Source organism: Homo sapiens, chromosome 5, assembly GCF_000001405.40.
Source record: "Homo sapiens chromosome 5, GRCh38.p14 Primary Assembly".
NCBI classification, from domain to species: Eukaryota; Metazoa; Chordata; class Mammalia; order Primates; family Hominidae; genus Homo; species Homo sapiens.
Window position 1 is genome coordinate 177,217,603 of NC_000005.10, and position 18,557 is coordinate 177,236,159.

Consider the following 18,557-nt stretch of genomic DNA (forward strand, 5'->3'; position numbering starts at 1 on the left):
TCTTTATTATATTTATGTAATTACTTTTTTGTTTGTGTTTTTGTTTTTGGACAGCGTCACATTCTTTTTTTTTTTTTTTTTTGAGACAGAGTTTCATTCTTGGTGTCCATGATGGAGTGCAGTGGCGCGATCTCGGCTCACTGCAACCTCCACCTCCCTCGTTCAAGCCATTCTCCTGCCTCAGGCTCCTGAGTAGATGGGATTACAGGCGCCTGACACCACGCCCGGCTAATTTTTTTGTATTTTTAGTGGAGACGGGGTTTCACCATGTTGGTCAGGCTAGTCTCGAACTCTTGACCTTGTGATCTGCCCACCTCGGCCTCCCAAAGTGTAGACAGGGTCACATTCTGTCACTTAGGTTGGAGTGCAGTGGTGATATGGCTCACTGCAGCCTCAACCACCCAGGCTCAAGCAATACTCCCACCTTGACCTCCCAAGTAGCTGTGACTACAGCCATGCACCACCATACTCCGCTGATTTTTAACCTTTTTGTACAGGTCAGGTTTTACTATGTTGCCTAGGTGGGTCTAAAACTTCTGAGCTCAAGTGATCCTCCCACCTCAGCATCCCAAGTAGCTGGGACTGCAGGTGTGCACCATGACACCTGACTAATTTTGTAATTTTTTGTTGAAACAAGATTTTACTATGTTGCCTAGGGTGGTCTCAGACTCCTGGGCTCAAGCAGTCTTCCCACCTTGGCCCCCCAAAAGTGCTGGGATTACAGGTGTGAGCCACCATACCTGGCATGTAATTTCTTTTTATTCCTAGTTTGTTGAGTGCTTTCTTTTCAGTCATGAAAGGTAGTTGAATTTTGTCAGATGTTTTTTCTACCTCAAGTGTGAAGGTCATGTAGTTTTTTTGGGGTCCTTTATTCTGTTAATGTGCTGTATTCTGTTGATTTTTTTTTTCTATTTTTGAACCATCGTTGCATTCCAAGATTAAATTCCACTTGGTCATGATGTATATTTCTTTTTTTTTTTTTTGAGACGGAGTCTCGCTCTGTTGCCCAGGCTGGCGTGCCGTGGCGCAATCTCGGGTCACTGCAAGCTCCACCTCCCGGATTGACGCCATTCTCCTGCCTCGGCTTCCTGAGTAGCTGGGACTACAGGCGCCCCCCACCACGCCCGGCTAAATTTTTTTTGTATTTTTTAGTAGACAGGGTTTCACCATGTTAGCCAGGATGGTCTCCATCTCCTGACCTTGTGATCCGCCCTCCTCGGCCTCTCAAAGTGCTGGGATTACATGCATGAGCCACCGCGCCCGGCCCCCCCTTTTTTTTTTCTCCAGCTGGCCCTAACGGGAGCCGTATGTTTCTTTTAATGTGCTATTTAATTTGATATACTAGTATTTTGTTGAGGATTTTTGCATCAGTATTTATAAAAGATGTTGCTCTGTAGTTTATCTTTTCATTTCTATATGCTCTAGTCTTTGTTTCTTTCCTTCTACCAACTTTGGGCTTAGATTTATTTTTCTGTCTTCTCGAGGTGTAAATTTAGGTTGTTGAGTTGAAAACTTTGTTTTTCAATGTTGGCATTTACTGATACAGACTTCTCTCTTAGTAGTGTTTTTGCTGCATCCCATAAGTTTTGTGTTTTTTTTTTTGAGAGGGAGTCTCGCTCTGTCGCCAGGCTGGAGTGAGCTGGCACGATCTCAGCTCACTGCAAGCTCCACCTCCCGGGTTCAAGCGATTGTCCTGCCTCAGCCTCCCAAGTAGCTGGGATTACAGGTGCCTGCCACCACGCCCGGCTAATTTTTTGTATTTTTAGTAGAGACGGGGTTTCACTGTGTTAGCCAGGATGGTCTCGATTTCCTGACCTTGTTATCCTCCTGTCTCCGCCTCCCAAAGTGCTGGGATTACAGGCGTGAGCCACCGCGCCCGGCCCTGTCAAAAGATATTTTCAAATTTCCCTTGTGATTTCTTCTTTCTTCCATTGATTGTTCAAGAGTTTGTTGTTTAATTTCCACCTATTGGTGGATTTTTCAGTTTTTGTACTGATACTGATTTCTAGTTTCACTTGATTGTGACTGGAACAGATACTTGGTATGATTTCAGTCTTCATAAATTTGTTAAGACTTGTGTGGCTGGGCATGGCAGCTTACGCCTGTAATCTCAGCACTTTGGGAGGCCAAGGCGAGATCACCTGAGGTCAGGAGTTCAAGACCAGCATGGCCAACATGGCAAAACCCCATCTCCACTAAAAATACAAAAACTAGCTGGGCATGGTTGCTCATGCCTGTAGTCCCAGCTACTCAGGAGGCTGAGGCACGAGAACTGCTTGAACCCAGGAGGTAGATGTTGCAGCGAGCTGAGATCACGCCACTGCACTCCAGCCTGGGCGACAGAGTAAGATCCTGTGTCAAAAAAAAAAGACTCTGTGTGACCATATTGGAGAATATTCTATGTGCTTTTGACAAGAATGTGTATTCTGCTGCTGTTTGGTATTGGTGTTTTATATATGTTTGTTATATGCAATTGTTCAAGTCCTCTGTTTCTTTATTGATCTTCATTGTGGTTCTCTCCATTATTTTAACGTGGAGTATTAAAATCTCCTTGTGTTACTCTATTTCTCCTTTCAATTCTGTCATTATTTGCTTTTTATATTTGGGTGGTCTGATGTTAGGTGAATTACGTATTTGCAAGTGTTATAGCTTCCTGATGAATTGACTGTTTTATTATCATATCATGTGTTCCTTTGTCTCTTGTGACAGTGTTTTACCTAAAGTGTATTTTGTTTTATATAAGTATGGCCAAAACCTCTGCTTTCTTTTGTTTACCACTGGCATAGAATATCTTTTTGCAGCCATTCACGTTCAGCCTCTGTGAAGTGAGATTTAAGGCTCACTTAAATCTTAGGTGAGCCTTTTATAGATAGTACCTAATTGTATAATGGTTTTCATTCACTCAACCACTCTATCTTTAGATTGGGGAGTTTAATCCATTTTTTTTCTTATAGTAATTGCTTTTTTTTTTTTTTTTTTTTTTTTGAAACAGAGGCTTGCTCTGTCGCCTAGGCTGGAGTGCAGTGGCATGATCTTAGCTCACTGCAAACTCCGCCTCCCGGGTTCAAGTAATTCTAGTGTCTCAGTTTTCCTGAGTAGCTGGGATTACAAGCGTGCACCAACACGCTTGGCTAATTTTTGTCTTTTTAGTAGAGACAGGGTTTTGCAGTGTTGGCCACGCCAGTCTCAAGTGATCTTCCTCAAGTGATCCACCTGCCTTAGCTTCTCAAAGTGCTGGGATTATGGTTATGAGCCACTGTGGTCGGCCTCTTTTTTTATGGAGACAGGCTCTCCCTCTGTCATCCAGGCTGTAGTGCAGTGGGGCAATCTCAGCTCACTGCAACCTCCACCTCTGGGTTCAAGCGATTCTTGTGCCTCAGCCTCCTGAGTAGCTGGGGCTACAGGTGCCTTCCACCACCCCCGGTTAATTTTGTGTGGTTTTTCATTTTTAATAGATACGGGGTTTCACCATGTTGGCCAGGCTGGTCTTGAACTCCTAGCCTGAAATGATCCACCCACTTTGGCCTCCCACAGTGCAGGGATTACAGGTGTGAGCCACTGTGGCCTGTATTTGGCCTCATTTTTTGTTAAAGTAATTACAGACAAAGATTTGTTATTACCATTTTGCTAATTGTTTCTCGTCTGGTTTGTAGCTGTTTTGTCCCCCTTTTGCTGTCTTTCTGCCTTCCTTGTTTTTTGTTTTTTTTTTTAATTGACATACTTTGTTTTCTTTATCATTTCATTTTATGTATCTTCAATAGGCATTTTCCATGTTGTTACCATGGGGCTTAAATAAAACATCTTACAGGTACAGTAATCTATTTTAAGCTGTTAACAACTTAAGTTGAATGTATATAAAACTCTTTTTTTCCCCCCAATTTTTTTTCAAGGCGGAGTCTTGCTCTGTTGCCCAGGCTGGAGTGCAGTGGTACAATCTCAGCTCACTGCAAACTCCCGGGTTCAAGCAATTCTCCTGCTTCAGCCTCCCAAGTAGCTGGGATTAGATTACAGGCATGCGCCACCATGCCTGGCTAATTTTTGCATTTTTAGTAGAGATGGGGTTTCACCTTGTCGGCCAGGCTGGACTCGAACTCCTGACCTTATGATCCGTCCATGTTAGCTTCCCAAAGTGCTGGGATTACAAGCATTAGCCACTGCGCCTGCCCTGTAAAACTCATATTTCCCCTTCCCCACTTTGTTGTTGTTTTTGTTTTTTCTTTTTTTGAGACAGAGTTTCATTCTCATCGCCCAGGCTGGAGTGCAGTGGTGTGATCTCAGCTCACAGCAACCTTTGCCTCCTGGGTTTGAGTGTTTCTTCTGCCTCAGCCTCCTAAGTAGCTGGGACTACAGGGTTGTGCCACTATGCCGAGCTGAGTTTTTTGTATTTTTGTGGAGACAGGGTTTCACCATTTTGGCCAGGCTAGTCTCGAACTCCTGATCTCAGGTGATCTGCCCACCTTGGCCTCCCAAAATGCTGGGATTACAGGCGTGAGCCATCGCACCCGGCCCCCACTTTGTTTTATTTTTTATTATTATTACTTTTTGAGATGTTGTCTCACTCTGTCACCCAGGCTGGAGTGCAGTGGCACGATCTTGGCTCATTTCAAGTTTCACCTCCCAGGTACAAGCGATTCTCATGTCTCAGCCTCCCAAGTAGCTTGGACTACAGGCGCGCACCACCACGCCCAGCTAATTTTTGTGTTCTTAGTAGAGGCAGAGTTTCACCATGTTGACCAGTTTTTATTTCTTTTGGTTATATCCCTAGGAGTAGAATTCCTGGGTCATTTGGTTATTCTATATTCAACCCTTTGAGTAACTGCCAGGATGTTTTGCAAGGCTGCTTTACCATAATATATCCCTCCTAGCAATGTATGAGGGTTCCACTTCCTCCATATGCTTGCTGACACTTTATTTGGTTATAGCCGTCCTTTTGGGTGTGGAGCAGTGGTATCTCATTATGATTTTCATTTGCATTCCTCTGCTGGCTAATGATGTTCAATATATTTTCATATACTTTTGGGTCATTTATGTATTTTATTTGGACAATTACATATCTAGAGTCTTTGACTATATTTTAATTGGGGCTTTTTTGCCTTTTGGTTATTAAGTAATAAGAGGTCTTTATATATTTTACATATAAGTCCATTATTATATATGATGCAAGTATTTTCTCCTATTCTTTGGGTTTATTTGATACACACATATTTTCTCCTCTTATTTGGGTTGTCTTTTTATTAGTTTGATCATATACCTTGAATTACAAGAATTTAAATCCTGATACATTCTGTTTGTTTGCTATTGTTGGTGTATGTTAGAACCATTGTGTAATTCTTGGTTATGAGGATTTACCCTATGTTTTCTTCTAAAACCTTTGATGCATTTTGAATTATTTTTTGTATATGGTGTGAGTGAGGGGTCCAATTTTATTTTGCTGCATGTGGGTGTCCACTTGTTGAAAAGAATATTCTTTTTCTTTTTCTTTTTTTTTTTTTTCAGACAGAGTCTCGCTCTGTCACCCAGGCTGCAATGCAACCCAGAGCCGGATCTTGGCTCACTGCAACGTCTGCCTCCTGGGTTCAAGGAGTTCTCATGTCTCAGCCTCCCAAGTAGCTGGGATTACAGGCATGCGCCAGCACGTCTGGCTAATTTTAATTTTTTTAAGAGAGCCAGTCTAGGCACGGTGGCTAGGCCGGGCACGGTGGCTCACAGCTTTAATCCCAGCACTTTTGGGAGGCTGATGCGGGCAGATCACTTGAGGTCAGAAGTTCGAGACCAGCCTGGCCAACGTGGTGAAACCCCATCTCTACTAAAAATACAAAAATTAGCCGGATGTGGTAGCAGATGCCTGTAATCCCAGCTACTTGGGAGGCTGAGGCAGGAGAATCACTTGAACCCAGGAAGCGGAAGTTGCAGTGAGCTGATATTGTGCCATAGCACTCTACCCTGGGCGACAGAGCAAGATTCTGTCTCCAAAAAACAAAACAAGAGACAGCCACCACGCCCAGCCTGAAAAGAATATTCTTTACCTATTTAATGGTCTTTGCATCCTTATTGATAGTCAGTTGGTCATAACTACGTAAGAGGTTGGTTCTGTGCTCTCAATGAGGTGGTGGCTCACACCTGTAATTCCAGAATTTTGGGAGGCCAAGGTGGGTGGATCACCTGAGATCAGGAGTTCTAGACCATCGTGTCCAACATGAGGGTCAAACCTCATCTCTACTAAAAATACAAAAAGTAGTCAGGTGTAGTGACACATGCCTGTAATCCCAGCTACTCAAGAGGCTGAGGCAGGAGAATCGCCTGAACCTGGGAGGTGGAGGTTACAATGAGCTGAGATCATGCCACTGCACTCCAGCCTGCCTGGGTGGCAGAGCAAGACTCTTGTCTCAACAAAAAATAAATAAAAATTGTAAGTGTTAGTTACAGTATTTTTGTAGTAATTAATTACAGTATTTTTGTAGTAATTAATTTTACTGTGTTTCTGAAATTGGAAAGTATAAGTTTTTTAACTTTACCCTTTTTCAAGATCATTTTGGCTCTTTTGCATCTTTGGTGTTTCATATTAATGTTAGAACAAGGTTGTAAGTTTCTGCAAAAAAGCCAGTTATGATTTTGATAGGGATTGTGCTGAATCTGTGGGGTAGTTTGCATAGTGTTGCCATCTTAGCAATATTAAGTCTTCCAATCCATGAATAATAGATGACTTTTCATCCAATTAGATTCGTCTTTCACTTCTTTCCATGATACTTTGTAATTTTCAGTGTATAAATTCTGCACTTAAAAAAATTTATTCCTAAGTATTTTAGTCTTTCTTTGTCCTTTTATAAATGAATTTGTTTTTGATTTCATTCTCAAATTATCTCATGTTTATGAAAATTTTGTATATTATTTTAATATTTAATATTAATACAAACATTTTGTATATTATTTTATCGTGCAACTTTGCTGAACTCATCTCTGTTAATTAATAGAATTGATTACTGTTTGTTAGTAATAGTATTTTTTTATGAATTATTTTGGATTTTCTGTGTACATGACCATGCAATCTGCATGTTTTCTAATCTAGTTGCCCTTTTCCCCCTTTGCTTACTTACCCTGGCTAGAGCCTCCAGTGTGATGCGGAATACTAGTGGAAAAAGCAGACATCCTTGTCTTGTTTTTGATGTTAGGAGGAAATAATTGAGTCTTTTTCATTAACTATGATGTCAGCTGTGGTTTTGTTATATTACCTTTCATATTTAGAATGTTCTCTTTTATACCTATTTTGTCACATTTGTAAGATCTTTTTTGTGTCTATTGAGAAGACAATTTTGCGTTTCCCCCTTTATTCTATCCATATGATGTATTATATTGATTGATTTTTGTAATTTGAACCAACTTTGAAGTCCTGGGGTAAATCCTACTTGGTCATGTTGTGTAATGTTGTTGGATGTGTTTTGCTTGTATTTTGCTGAAGATTTAAAAATCTATACTCAAAGGATATTGGTCTACAGTTTTCCTATTTGTGTGATACCTTTTGTCTAGTTCTTTTTGTTGTTGATGTTTTTTGTTTTTATATTTTTGAGACGGAGTTTCGCCCTCATCGCCCAGGCTTCAGTGGTGTGATCTCGGCTCACTGCATCCTCTGCCTCCCGGGTTCAAGTGATTCTCCTGCCTCAGCCTCCCAAGTAGCTGGGGTTACAGGCACGTGCCACCACACCCAGCTAATTTTTGTATTTTTAGTAGAGACGGGGTTTCACCATATTGGCCAGGCTGGTCTTGAACTCCTGATCTCAAGTAATCTGCCTGTCTGAGCCTCCCAAAGTGCTGGGATTACAGGTGTGAGCCGCCGTGCCCAGCCGTCTTAGTCTAGTTCTGCTTTCAGAGTATACTGGCCTCATAGAATGAACGTGACAGGTAGTTTCTTAAGTAGTGCTTTGTTATAACCCAATTGTGGCCTTTCTTATTTATTTTCTCCCCTTTTTCCTGACATCCTTTACTTTCACCGCCTTTATATAGATCTACCTTTGCTAGTAAATAGGGTCATATGGGTGCTGGAAATAATCCATTCCTGTGAATTATTATTAATGTACATGTGAATATTACTGTTAAAGCAGATGATGTCTTTTCCTTAAGAATAGTTCACAATTTTCGTTCATTATATTTCAAATATTTTCATATAATTTTATTTTTACTTCAGTTTTGAATTTTTTGGTTTTGAGTATGTATTGAAAAGATGAGAGAAGCTATTCAGTAAAAATTTTCCTCCCAACCCTGTACCTCAGTGGCTTAGATCTGCTCTCCAGAGATACTCAGTGTATGAATTACCAAGAAAAAGGTAGATGTGTGTTTGTTACACAAATTCAACAGTATATATACGTTGTTTGTACCTTGATTTTTTTGTTTCACTCTCATATCCATGCATAATGAGTTTCTCATTTTTTAAGCAGCAGAGTGTGCCATAGTTTTTCGTTTTTGTTTTTGAGACAGGGTCTCACTTTGTTGCTTAGGCTGGAGTGTGGTGGCACAATCTTGGCTCACTGCAACCTTTGCCTCCGGGGCTCAAGCAATCCTCCCACATCAGCTTCCCAGGTAGCTGGGACTACAGGCACGTGCCACCACACCCGGTTAATTTTTGTATTTTTGGTAGAGGTGAGGTTTCAGGTTGGTCTTGAACTCCTGAGCTCAAGTGTTCCACCTGCTTTAGCCTCCCAAAGTGCTGGGATTACATGCGTGAGCCACCGGGCCCGGCCAGTAGTGTGCCATAATTTGTTAAACCTGTTCTCAATTAATGGACATTTAGTTTGTTTTCCAGTTTTAAGTAATTTAAAATTTAGCATAGTTAAAAATCTTAAGTCATTTGGTATGTGTGAGAGAACCTGAAAGATAAATTGCTATCGAGGTTTATTTATTTATTTTTGAAATGGGGTTCTTGCTGTTTTGCCCAAGCCTGGTCTCAAACTCTTTCCTTCACTTGAGAGATCCTCCTGCCTCAGCCAAATAGCTGGGACCACAGCCGTGTACTACCATGCCCAGCTTAGGTCATTTGGTTTGTCTTTGGCGATATCTCATAGTATTCCAATTTGAAATTTCACTTCATAGTTGTTATACTGATATGTTCCTACTAACAGTACAGAAAAGTACAGATTGGCATTCTGTTAATTTTTTTTAACATCCAGTCTAACCACCCCCTTTTCCAAGTCTGTATTCCCACTCACAATCTAGTAATTAAAAAAAAATTTTGAGTAAAGTATGAAATTTTGTTAAGGGGCTGCATGTATAGTTTTGATATGAATGAAGCTATGTTTCAGATGGTTAATTTACTTTGGTTGTTTGGAATTTCCAATGGTTTTTTATTTTACAGAGTCCTGCCAAATTTATAACAACTGTAGGGCAGGGTGTGGATAGGGATATTTTTACTGAGTAAATACTATTACATGTACTAGAGGTATTCTGTTATGTTAAAATATCCCGTTAGAGATACATGATGAAACACATATGGATGAAATATTATGGAGTATGAGATATTGCAAAATAACATGGAAAGATGGGGATACAGATAAAAATAGATTGGCCATGAATTTGTAATCAGTGAGTCTAGGTGTTTACTATACTGGTTTTGTAGATGTTTGCAATTTTCTGTGATACATCCTTTTTCAGTAGGAATTCAGAATAAAGAAAGTGCTAAATATTTGAGTAAATCAGTTGACTATGAAAATAATAATGCCTTATGGTCTTAAATACATATGGCATTAAAATATACCACAACAATAAAATATAAGTTGATAAGGAGGCAGATGGAAGTTAGTTTCCTTTACTTTCTGGCAGGATGATAACAATATTCATTAACTTTGGATTTTTATGAGTTAAATATTATTATTATTATTTTTAGACAGAGCCTAGCACCCAGGCTGGAGTGCAGTGATGCGATCTTGGCTTACTGCAACCTCCGCCTCCCGGGTTCAAGCAATTCTCCTGCCTCAGCCTCCGGAGTAGCTATAGGTGTGCGCCACCACATCGGGCTAATGTTTGTATTTTTAGTAGGGACAGGGTTTCGCCTGTTGGCCAGGCTGGTCTCAAACTCCTGACCTCAGGTGATCCCGCTCGCCTTGGCCTCCCAAAGTGCTGGCATTACAGATGTGAGCCATACACCCGGCCTAAATATTCATATTTAAATTTTTAAAATAACCTAAAACATGGAACAGAAAGCAGAAAGTTTGGCCTAGCACAGTGGCTCACACCTGTAATTCCAGCTATTCGGGACAGTTAGGCAGGAGAATTGCTTGAACCCAGGAGGCAGAGGTTGCAGTGAGCCGAGATTGTGCCATTGTACTCTACCCTGGACCACAAGAGAGAAACTCTCTCAAAAAAAAAAAAAAGCAGAATTTTTTTTTGTAATTTATTTTTTTTTGGAAGATTCATCCTGTAGATTTTCTCAGGCTGCATTGCGCTGTATGCAGCTCTGTTATATGGTTTTACATATTTCTCTTACTCTGTACAGTAGTCTCCCTTTATCTAGAAACTCATTTTTCACAGTGTCAATTACCTGTAGTCAACTGAGGTCCAAAAATAGGTGAGTATAGTGCAATGCAGTTATTTTGGGGCAGAGAGGGAGAGAGAGCACATTCACGTAAGTTTTATTATAGTATATTGATAACATTGGCCTTTTTTTCTTTTTCTTTTCTTTTTTTTTTTTTTGAGTTAGAGTCTTACTCTGTCACCCAGGATGGAGGGCAGTGGCATGATCTTGACTTATGAGCTATTAGCTGCAACTACAGACATGCACCACCACGCTAAGCAGATTTTTGTATTTTTAGTAGGGACGGGATTTTGCCATGTTGGCTAGGCTGGTCTTGAACTCCTGACCTCAAGTGATCCACCTGCCTCGACCTCCCAAAGTGCTGGGATTACAGGCGCGAGTCACCAGCCCCGGCCTAGGCTGAATGATCTAGATTGCCACTATTAGGAATGGTTTTGGGGTTTTTGCCTTTTTTTTTGTTTCTTTAAACTTTTTTCTCTGAGGCTCCAGAACTAGGAAAGTCGAGGTATAAATAGGGTCTAATAATCTGTATTGGAAGAGTGATGTTGCTACTAGTATTCTAGTCCTTTGGAAAAATTCACCATTTTAATGAAAAGGAGAAAACTGTATGTAGTTCAGTCTTGATGAAAGAGATTTTACTTTTTAAAATTAACTTTATCCAAGGTATAATTTACATACTGTGAAATTCGTACATTTTATGTATACAATCGAATACTATTTGCAAATTTAATGTGTTATGCAACCATCTCTGTAAATCCATTTCGGAGCATTTCTACCATCCCAGTAAAGATCCTTCTAATCTGTATATAGTTAATCCCTCTTCCTACCACTAGTCCTAGAGAACCAATAGTTGACTGTCTCTGTAGATTTGCCTTTTCCCTGGACATTTAATATTAATGGAATCATGCAATATGTGATCTTTTGTGTCTTGTTCTTCTCATTTGGTATATTTTTCTGATTTAAAAAAAAAAACTTACCATCTGTAATTTGTCCCCTTTTTTGCTAAATAGTATTCCACCATAGATGTATGCCTAATTTTATTTATTCATTCATTCATTGATTAACATTTGGGCTGTTTCAACTTTTTGGCTGTTTTATCATTTTAGTTGGTAGTGTATACTCTGAGGTCTACGGCTATTGCTATACTCATCCAGTATTTGTCATTTATCTCTTTCTTCACAATACAGTGACATTTTGTAGTTGTATAGTAGGCATGACGTACTGGTTGTGTGGTAGGAATTAGGGCATATTTGCTGAGAACCTTAGGGGTAGTGTGATTTGGCTCTTGCTTTGTTTGATATTTGCTACATATCCTGTATTAAGGTTTGCATAATTACTCCTCTTTCCATTGACTTGTGCAGTTTTATGGATTTTGATATTTTCTTCCAGTATCCAAAAGGTCATATTCCTCCTTTGTTCCTGATATATTCTTTATCTTAGCTTGGCAAATCACTTACTTTTTTGCCTCACTTTGCTCCTCTGTAGTAAGAGTAGGTGAATTCTCCATGCTTTTCTAACTGAAAAGTGCTGTAACTGGGAGAGAACATAGGTAGGGAGTTGGGGTAGTTGAGGCAAGGAAGAAAGAGGGGAAGCCTAGCAACAGCCAGGAAGCATCTTTTTATGTATTTTTTTATTTTTTTGAGGTGGAGTCTTGCTCTGTCACCCAGGCTGGAGTGCAGTGGCACGATCTAGGCTCACTGCAACCTCCGCCTCCCAGGTTCAAGTGATTCTCCTGTCTCACCCTCCTGAGTAGCTGCAACTACAGGTATGCACCACCACACCTGGCTAGTTTTTGTATTTTTAGTAGAGACGGAGCTTCACCATGTTGGCCAGGCTGGTCTCAAACTCCCGACTTCAAGTGATCTGCTGGCTTCAGCCTCCCAAAGTGCTGAGATTATAGGCATGAGCCACTGCATCCCACCCAGGAAACATCTTTTTAAAAATCATTCAGTTGTCACCATGCTGTTTCACTTACAATATGTTACTCTATTTGTGTTTTATTTTTATTTTTTATTTTTTAGACGAAGTCTCACTCGGTCGCCCTGGCTGGAGTGCAGTGGTGCTGTCTTGGCTCACTGCAACCTCTGCCTCCTGGGTTCAAGTGATTCTCGTGCTTCAGCCTCAGTATGTTACTTTATTTTTTATTTAGGGAAAGAGTTGGTAGACGTTTCTACCAAAGTAGAAAAGTGCCAGATAGTAAATATTTTAGGTTTTATGAGCCATAAGTTCTCTGTCACCTAATAGATGTATCCAGTACAGAATTTCTCACTTTAATTTCCAGTCTTTTGTGCTATCTGCTGGTTTCATTGTGAGCTGCAAGGAAATAGAGAGCTGGAGTATTGAAGCCTAGTCTGAGAAGTTACTCTATGAGAGAAGCAAACCCCAAAGGTAGAGTGGAAACAGCAATTATAAGAGGAAACGTGGCCAGGCGTGGTGGCTCAAGCCTATAATCCCAGCACTTTGGAAGGCTGAGGTGAGCAGATCACCTGAGGACAGGAGTTTGAGACCAGCTGGGCCAACATGATGAAACACTGTCTCTACTAAAAATCCGAAAAATGAGCCAGATGTGGTGGCTTGTGCCTGTAGTCCCAGCTACTCGGGAGACTGAGGCACAAGAATCACTTGAACCCATGAGGTGAAGGTTGCTGTGAGCCGAGATCACACCACTGCACTTCAGCCTGGGCGACAAAGCGAGACTCCGACTCAAAAAAAAAAAAGAGGAAATGCAACAAGACTTAGCCTATGGAACCTGCCAAGAAGAAGACAAAGGAAGGAGACTGTCTAGGATTGAGATCCAATTTGTGTGAGGGGGTTAGTGATGGATGGGGATAAAGGGGCATGATGTGATAGCATAGGGATCTGTTTTAATGAAAAATGTTCATGGGGAGTTTTGAGAGACTTTGGGATGGAATTATGACCTTGCCACCTCAATAATTAACTAATAAGATGGGTTTGTGTAAGTCACCACCCTGCCCCCACTTTGAGACAGGGTTTTGTTCTGTTGTCCAGGCTGGAGTGCAGTTGCACAATCCTAGCTCATTGCAGCCTCAAACTCCTGGGCTCAAGTGATCCTCCCGCCTTAGCCTCCCAAATAGCTGGGACTACAGGCGCGTGCCACCACACCTGGCTAATTTTTAACTTTTTGTAGGGACGAGGTCTCGCCATGTTCCCCAGGCTTGTGTTGAACTCCTGGGCTCAAGTAATCCTCTTGCTTGTGCCTCCAAAAGTACTTGGATTACAGGCGTGGGCCACTTTGCCTAGCTGTTTTCACCATTACTTTGAAGAAAAATGTATACTTTAATATTTTGATCATAAAACATGACAAGGTTATTATTATTTTTTGAGATGGAGGCTAAAGTTCAGTGGCACGATCTCGACTCACTACAACCTCCACCTTCCAGGTTCAAGCAATTTTCCTTCCTCACCCTCCTGAGTAGCTGGGACTACAGGCATACGCCACTACACAATTTTTTATTTTTAGTAGAGACGGGGTTTTTCCATGTTCACAGGCTAGTCTCGAACTCCTGGCCTCAGGTGATCCGCCCACCTTGGCCTCCCAAAGTGCTGGGATTACAAGCATGAGTCACTGCGCCCAAACCGTGACAAGATTTTTTTAAAGGACGTACCCAAAATTCCATTTTTAATCTTTCAATTTTTTCTTTTCTTTTGATCCATAAAGCAATTGCATATATATTAAATCTTATTCTCCTGCCTTTTGCATACATGACATACACTTTTATGTTATTGGGATAATGACATATAATCAGTTATATATATTATTATTATTTTATTTTTACAGATAGGGTTTTGCTGTGTCATTCAGGCTTGAGTGTGGTGGCACTGTCTTGGCTCACTGCAGCCCCTATCTCCTGGGCTGAAGCCATCCTCCTGCTTCAGTCTCACATGTAGCTGGGACCGCAGGTGTGTGCCACCACAGGCAGCTATATTTTTATGTTTAGTAGAGGCATGGTCTCACTTTGTTGCCCAGCCTGTTCTTGAACTCCTGGGCTCAAACCATCTGCTCACCTTGGCCTCCCATGCCTTTTATGTTTTTTGATAATTCTGTTTAGATGTATAGTTCTCTGTTTTTTAGCATGAGACAGTAATACAACCATATGATACTAAATCGATGAAGTGTTTGTAAAGTGGTTTTGAAATTCATGTGGTAGTGCCGATTATATAATATTCTGTTGAAATGTCATTCCTGATATTCTACAAAATCCATAGAGATGTTGTTTAAAATGCAGGTTGAGCATTCCTAATCAGAAATCCAAAATGCTCCAAAATCGAAATCTTTTTGAATATTGACATAATACCACAAGTGGAAAATTCCACAGTTGACATCATGCAATGTGTCAGTCAGAACACAGGAACACAGCAGAGTTTATTCAACGTCCCCCAGGGAAAAACTATCCTTCCATCACCCTTCAGCTTAGATGTATCTTTTGCATGCACAGCCGGATTTTCCCATGCAATTATACCCATAAAAGGTGATAAAATGGCACACGTGCAGGCTGGATGCACCAACAGAAAGTTTTCCAAAATAACCCACATGGGGCAAAAGCCTCCTTGCATTATTCATTGTGTTTTTAAATTAAAAAGAATTTTTTCCTGCTTTGTGGTATAAAGATTTTGTTGAACTTCTCAGAAAGCCTGAAGATATCCCCATAGATTAGAGTAATAAGAAAGGAGGAAGAATTTAGGTATAGTGCAGAAAGTAAGTCAGGCTCTTGGAGAAACTAGACAGTGGTGTAAGTGTGAAACATCTTTCAGAAGAGTATGGTATTAGACTGACCACCATGTATGATGAGACAGGCCCTACAGGAATTCAGGATGACTAGGACAGAGTAACTGTGCTGGGATGTGCTAATTAAGCAGGCATGTGTAAGTGTAAACTTGCTATGATAGGCAAAAGCTTGTGTTCTCACTGTTAGTGATTTCAAGGCATGAATTTCTTTTCTTTTCTTTTTTTGGAGATAGTCTCGCCCTGTTGTCCAGGCTTGAGTGCAGTGGCACAATTATGGCTCACAGTAGCCTTGATCTTCCAGACTCAAGCATTCTTCCCTGGTAGCTGGGACTACAGCTGTGTGCTACTATGCTTGGCTATTTTTTTTTATTTTTATTTTTAGTAGAGATGGGGTCTCACTATGTTAACTGGGCTGGTATTGAATTCCTGGGCTCAAGTGATCTTCCTGCATTGGCTTCCCTAAGTGCTAGGATTACAGGCGTGAGCTGCTGCACCCAGCCCCAAGGCATAAATTTTTTTTTTTAAAGTTTGGCTCTGTCACCCAGCCTGGAGTGCAGTGGCTAGATCTTGGCTCACTGCAACCTCTGCCTCCTGGGTTTAAGTGATTCTCATGCTTCGGCATCTGGTGTAGCTCGCATTATAGACATGAGCCACCATGCCTGGCTAGTATTTTTTTTTTTTTTTTTTTTAAGTAGAGACAGGCTTTCACCATATTGGCCAGGCTGGTCTCGAACTCCTGAGCCACCGCACCTGCCCCAAAGGCATGAATTTCTTACCAGTTCGTTATTATGCTAACAGAAAGGCATGGATATCTAGGGACATCTTTTCTGATTGGTTTCACAAACATTTTATAGCAGTAGTTGGTGCTTATTTCAGGGAAGCTGGACAGGATGATGACTGTTCCTCCTTGAAAACTCTTCGGCTCATCCTGCAGCTGCAATTTTATCAAAAATAATGTTTATGCCATGTGCTTTCCCTGAAGTGTGACTTCACTGCCATATGACCAGGGAATCCCTAGATTGATGAAGAGTAAATATAAAAATGCTTTCTTGAATATGCTGGCAGCTGTGAATAGATGTATGGGTGTGAAAGGGTTTCAAAAGGAGTGAAGGATGCCATATATGCTGTTGTCAGTGTCTGGAACACAGTGACTAAAGGTACAGCTGTGCATGCCTGGCACCACTTGTGACCTTCAGCTGTGTTCACTGATGATAATGAACAAGGTGGTGATTTTGATGGCTTCTTCAGTAAAGTGAGAAAAATGTGTAACATCCTTACATATGCAAAAAGTATACCTTCCATTTGTCAGTAAGCTGGAAGAAGTGGATAACAAGAAAGCTTTTAATATCGACAAAGAGGCTCCCGTTTCTTTGTTCAACATGGTGATAGAGCTGACATCGATCTGAATCAGAGTGATTGTGATAATGAAGATGACATTAACACTGCAGAAAAAGTACCTATAGATGACATGGTTAATGTATGTGATGGGCTTATTGAAGGACCAGAGCAGTGTTCATTCATAACAGAAAAAGAAATCATGTCAGTTTATAAAATGAGAGCCTTGGGCTGGGCGCAGTGTCTCGAGAGCCTGTAATCCCAGCACTTTGGGAGGCCAAGGCGGGCAGATCACTTGAGGTCAGGAGTTCGAGAACAGCCTGGCCAACCCGGTGAAATGCTGTCTGTACTAAAAATACAAAATTAGCTGGGTGTGGTGGCAGGCGCCTGTAATCCCAGCTACTCAGGAGGCTGAGGCAGTAGAATCGCTTGATCCTGGAAGGTGAAGGTTGCAGTGAGCTGAGATCATGCTGCTGCACGCCAGCCTGGGTGACAGAGTGAGCCCCCGTCTCAAAAAATAAAGAAATGAATAAAATGAGATCCTTCTAGACAATACTCGTTGTTAATGAGACAGATGACTTTAGAGGAAACATTTTAAAAAGCTATCCCACAGAATGCCTCTTCATTCCTAGAGGACTTCCTGGTTCCTAATTGCTTCTGATGATGTTTCTTCTTACCTTATAAAATAAAACAGTATACAGTAACCTTTTAATCAAAACACAGCATCATAGATGGAGACACAAAGCCCGACATTGTTATTACTGTTTTTTTATCAGCTGATACATGTATTCTCGTGATACTACTGTGCTGCTTAGCTACCCTGAACACACATTACTTTTTCACTGTATTAATGGTATGTCATATTTTTACTGTTAAGTACTTATGTGTGAATAAGTATAAGAAAATGTTTGCCTGTCAGTAGCACATAAATTCAGAGACAGGAATGATGGTAATGCCAAACAACCACAGATATTCCACATGGTGGCTGAGATAATGACACTTTTGCTTTCTTATGGTTCACTGTACACAAACTTTGTATAATGTAGAAAATAAATATTTTGTAAAATTACCTTCAGGCTATGTGTATAGAAGATGTGTGTAATACATAAATGAGTTTGGTATTTCAATTTGGGTCCCATCCCCAAGATAACTTATTATATATATATGCAAATATTACAAAATATGAAAAATTCTAAATCACTTCTGATCCCAAGCGTTTCAGATAAGGCATACTTAGCCTGTAACTCAAGATGTATTTTACCTATTTACCTGATCTAGATGCTACATTTTTGTTAGGTATATATTAGCTTTATATGTACAGGTGTCAGTGACTATAAGACCTGGCTTTAAATTTAACCTTTTCCTTAATTTTGGATGGGCCACATATATTCTATTATTTGTGTATATAAGGTAACACAAGTCCTTTTGTCTCCCCCCAGCTCCTTTTGCATATGAGAAAACATAAGCCATTTTGTGCCTCTTGCATCTTAAGCCATAGTCTATTTTACTATGTGGTTTCCCATCTGGTTACTTTTGGGAGTATCAGATGGTCTCATAAAAACAGTGGGTTTTCCTGAAGCTTTTTGATTAATGTTGAATTTGTTTATCATCTTTTAGCTGTGCGGTCAGAGAAGAAACGCCTTAGGAAGCCAAGCAAGTGGCTTTTGGAATATACAGAAGAATATGATCAGATATTTGCTCCTAAGAAAAAACAAAAGAAGGTACAGGAGCAGGTGCACAAGGTATGTTGCAAAATTTCAGCAAACTTTCACTGGTCCTTAGGAAACTGCAATTTTATCTTCAATGTCATACTTTATCTTCATGAAACAATAATTTCCTTAACTGAGATCTTGTTTTTTATTCTCAGCTTCTAGCACAGTACTTAGGATTTAGTGGTTATTCAGGAAATATATAAATGAATCTACATATTGTATTTATTTATGTATATATTTTTCC

General features: G+C 40.5%; 1 protein-coding gene across 12 annotated transcripts in view; it reads left to right on the forward strand.

Annotated features, from left to right (window-relative positions):
• Positions 1-18,557, forward strand: part of NSD1 (nuclear receptor binding SET domain protein 1) — a 168,416-nt gene that overhangs the window by 85,805 nt on the left and 64,054 nt on the right. For all 12 annotated transcript variants that reach the window (NM_001409301.1, NM_001409304.1, NM_001409305.1 and 9 more), the window contains one exon: positions 18,219-18,343. In NM_001409301.1, coding sequence (NP_001396230.1) covers positions 18,219-18,343 — 125 coding nt within the window. The remainder of the gene's footprint in view (positions 1-18,218; positions 18,344-18,557) is intronic.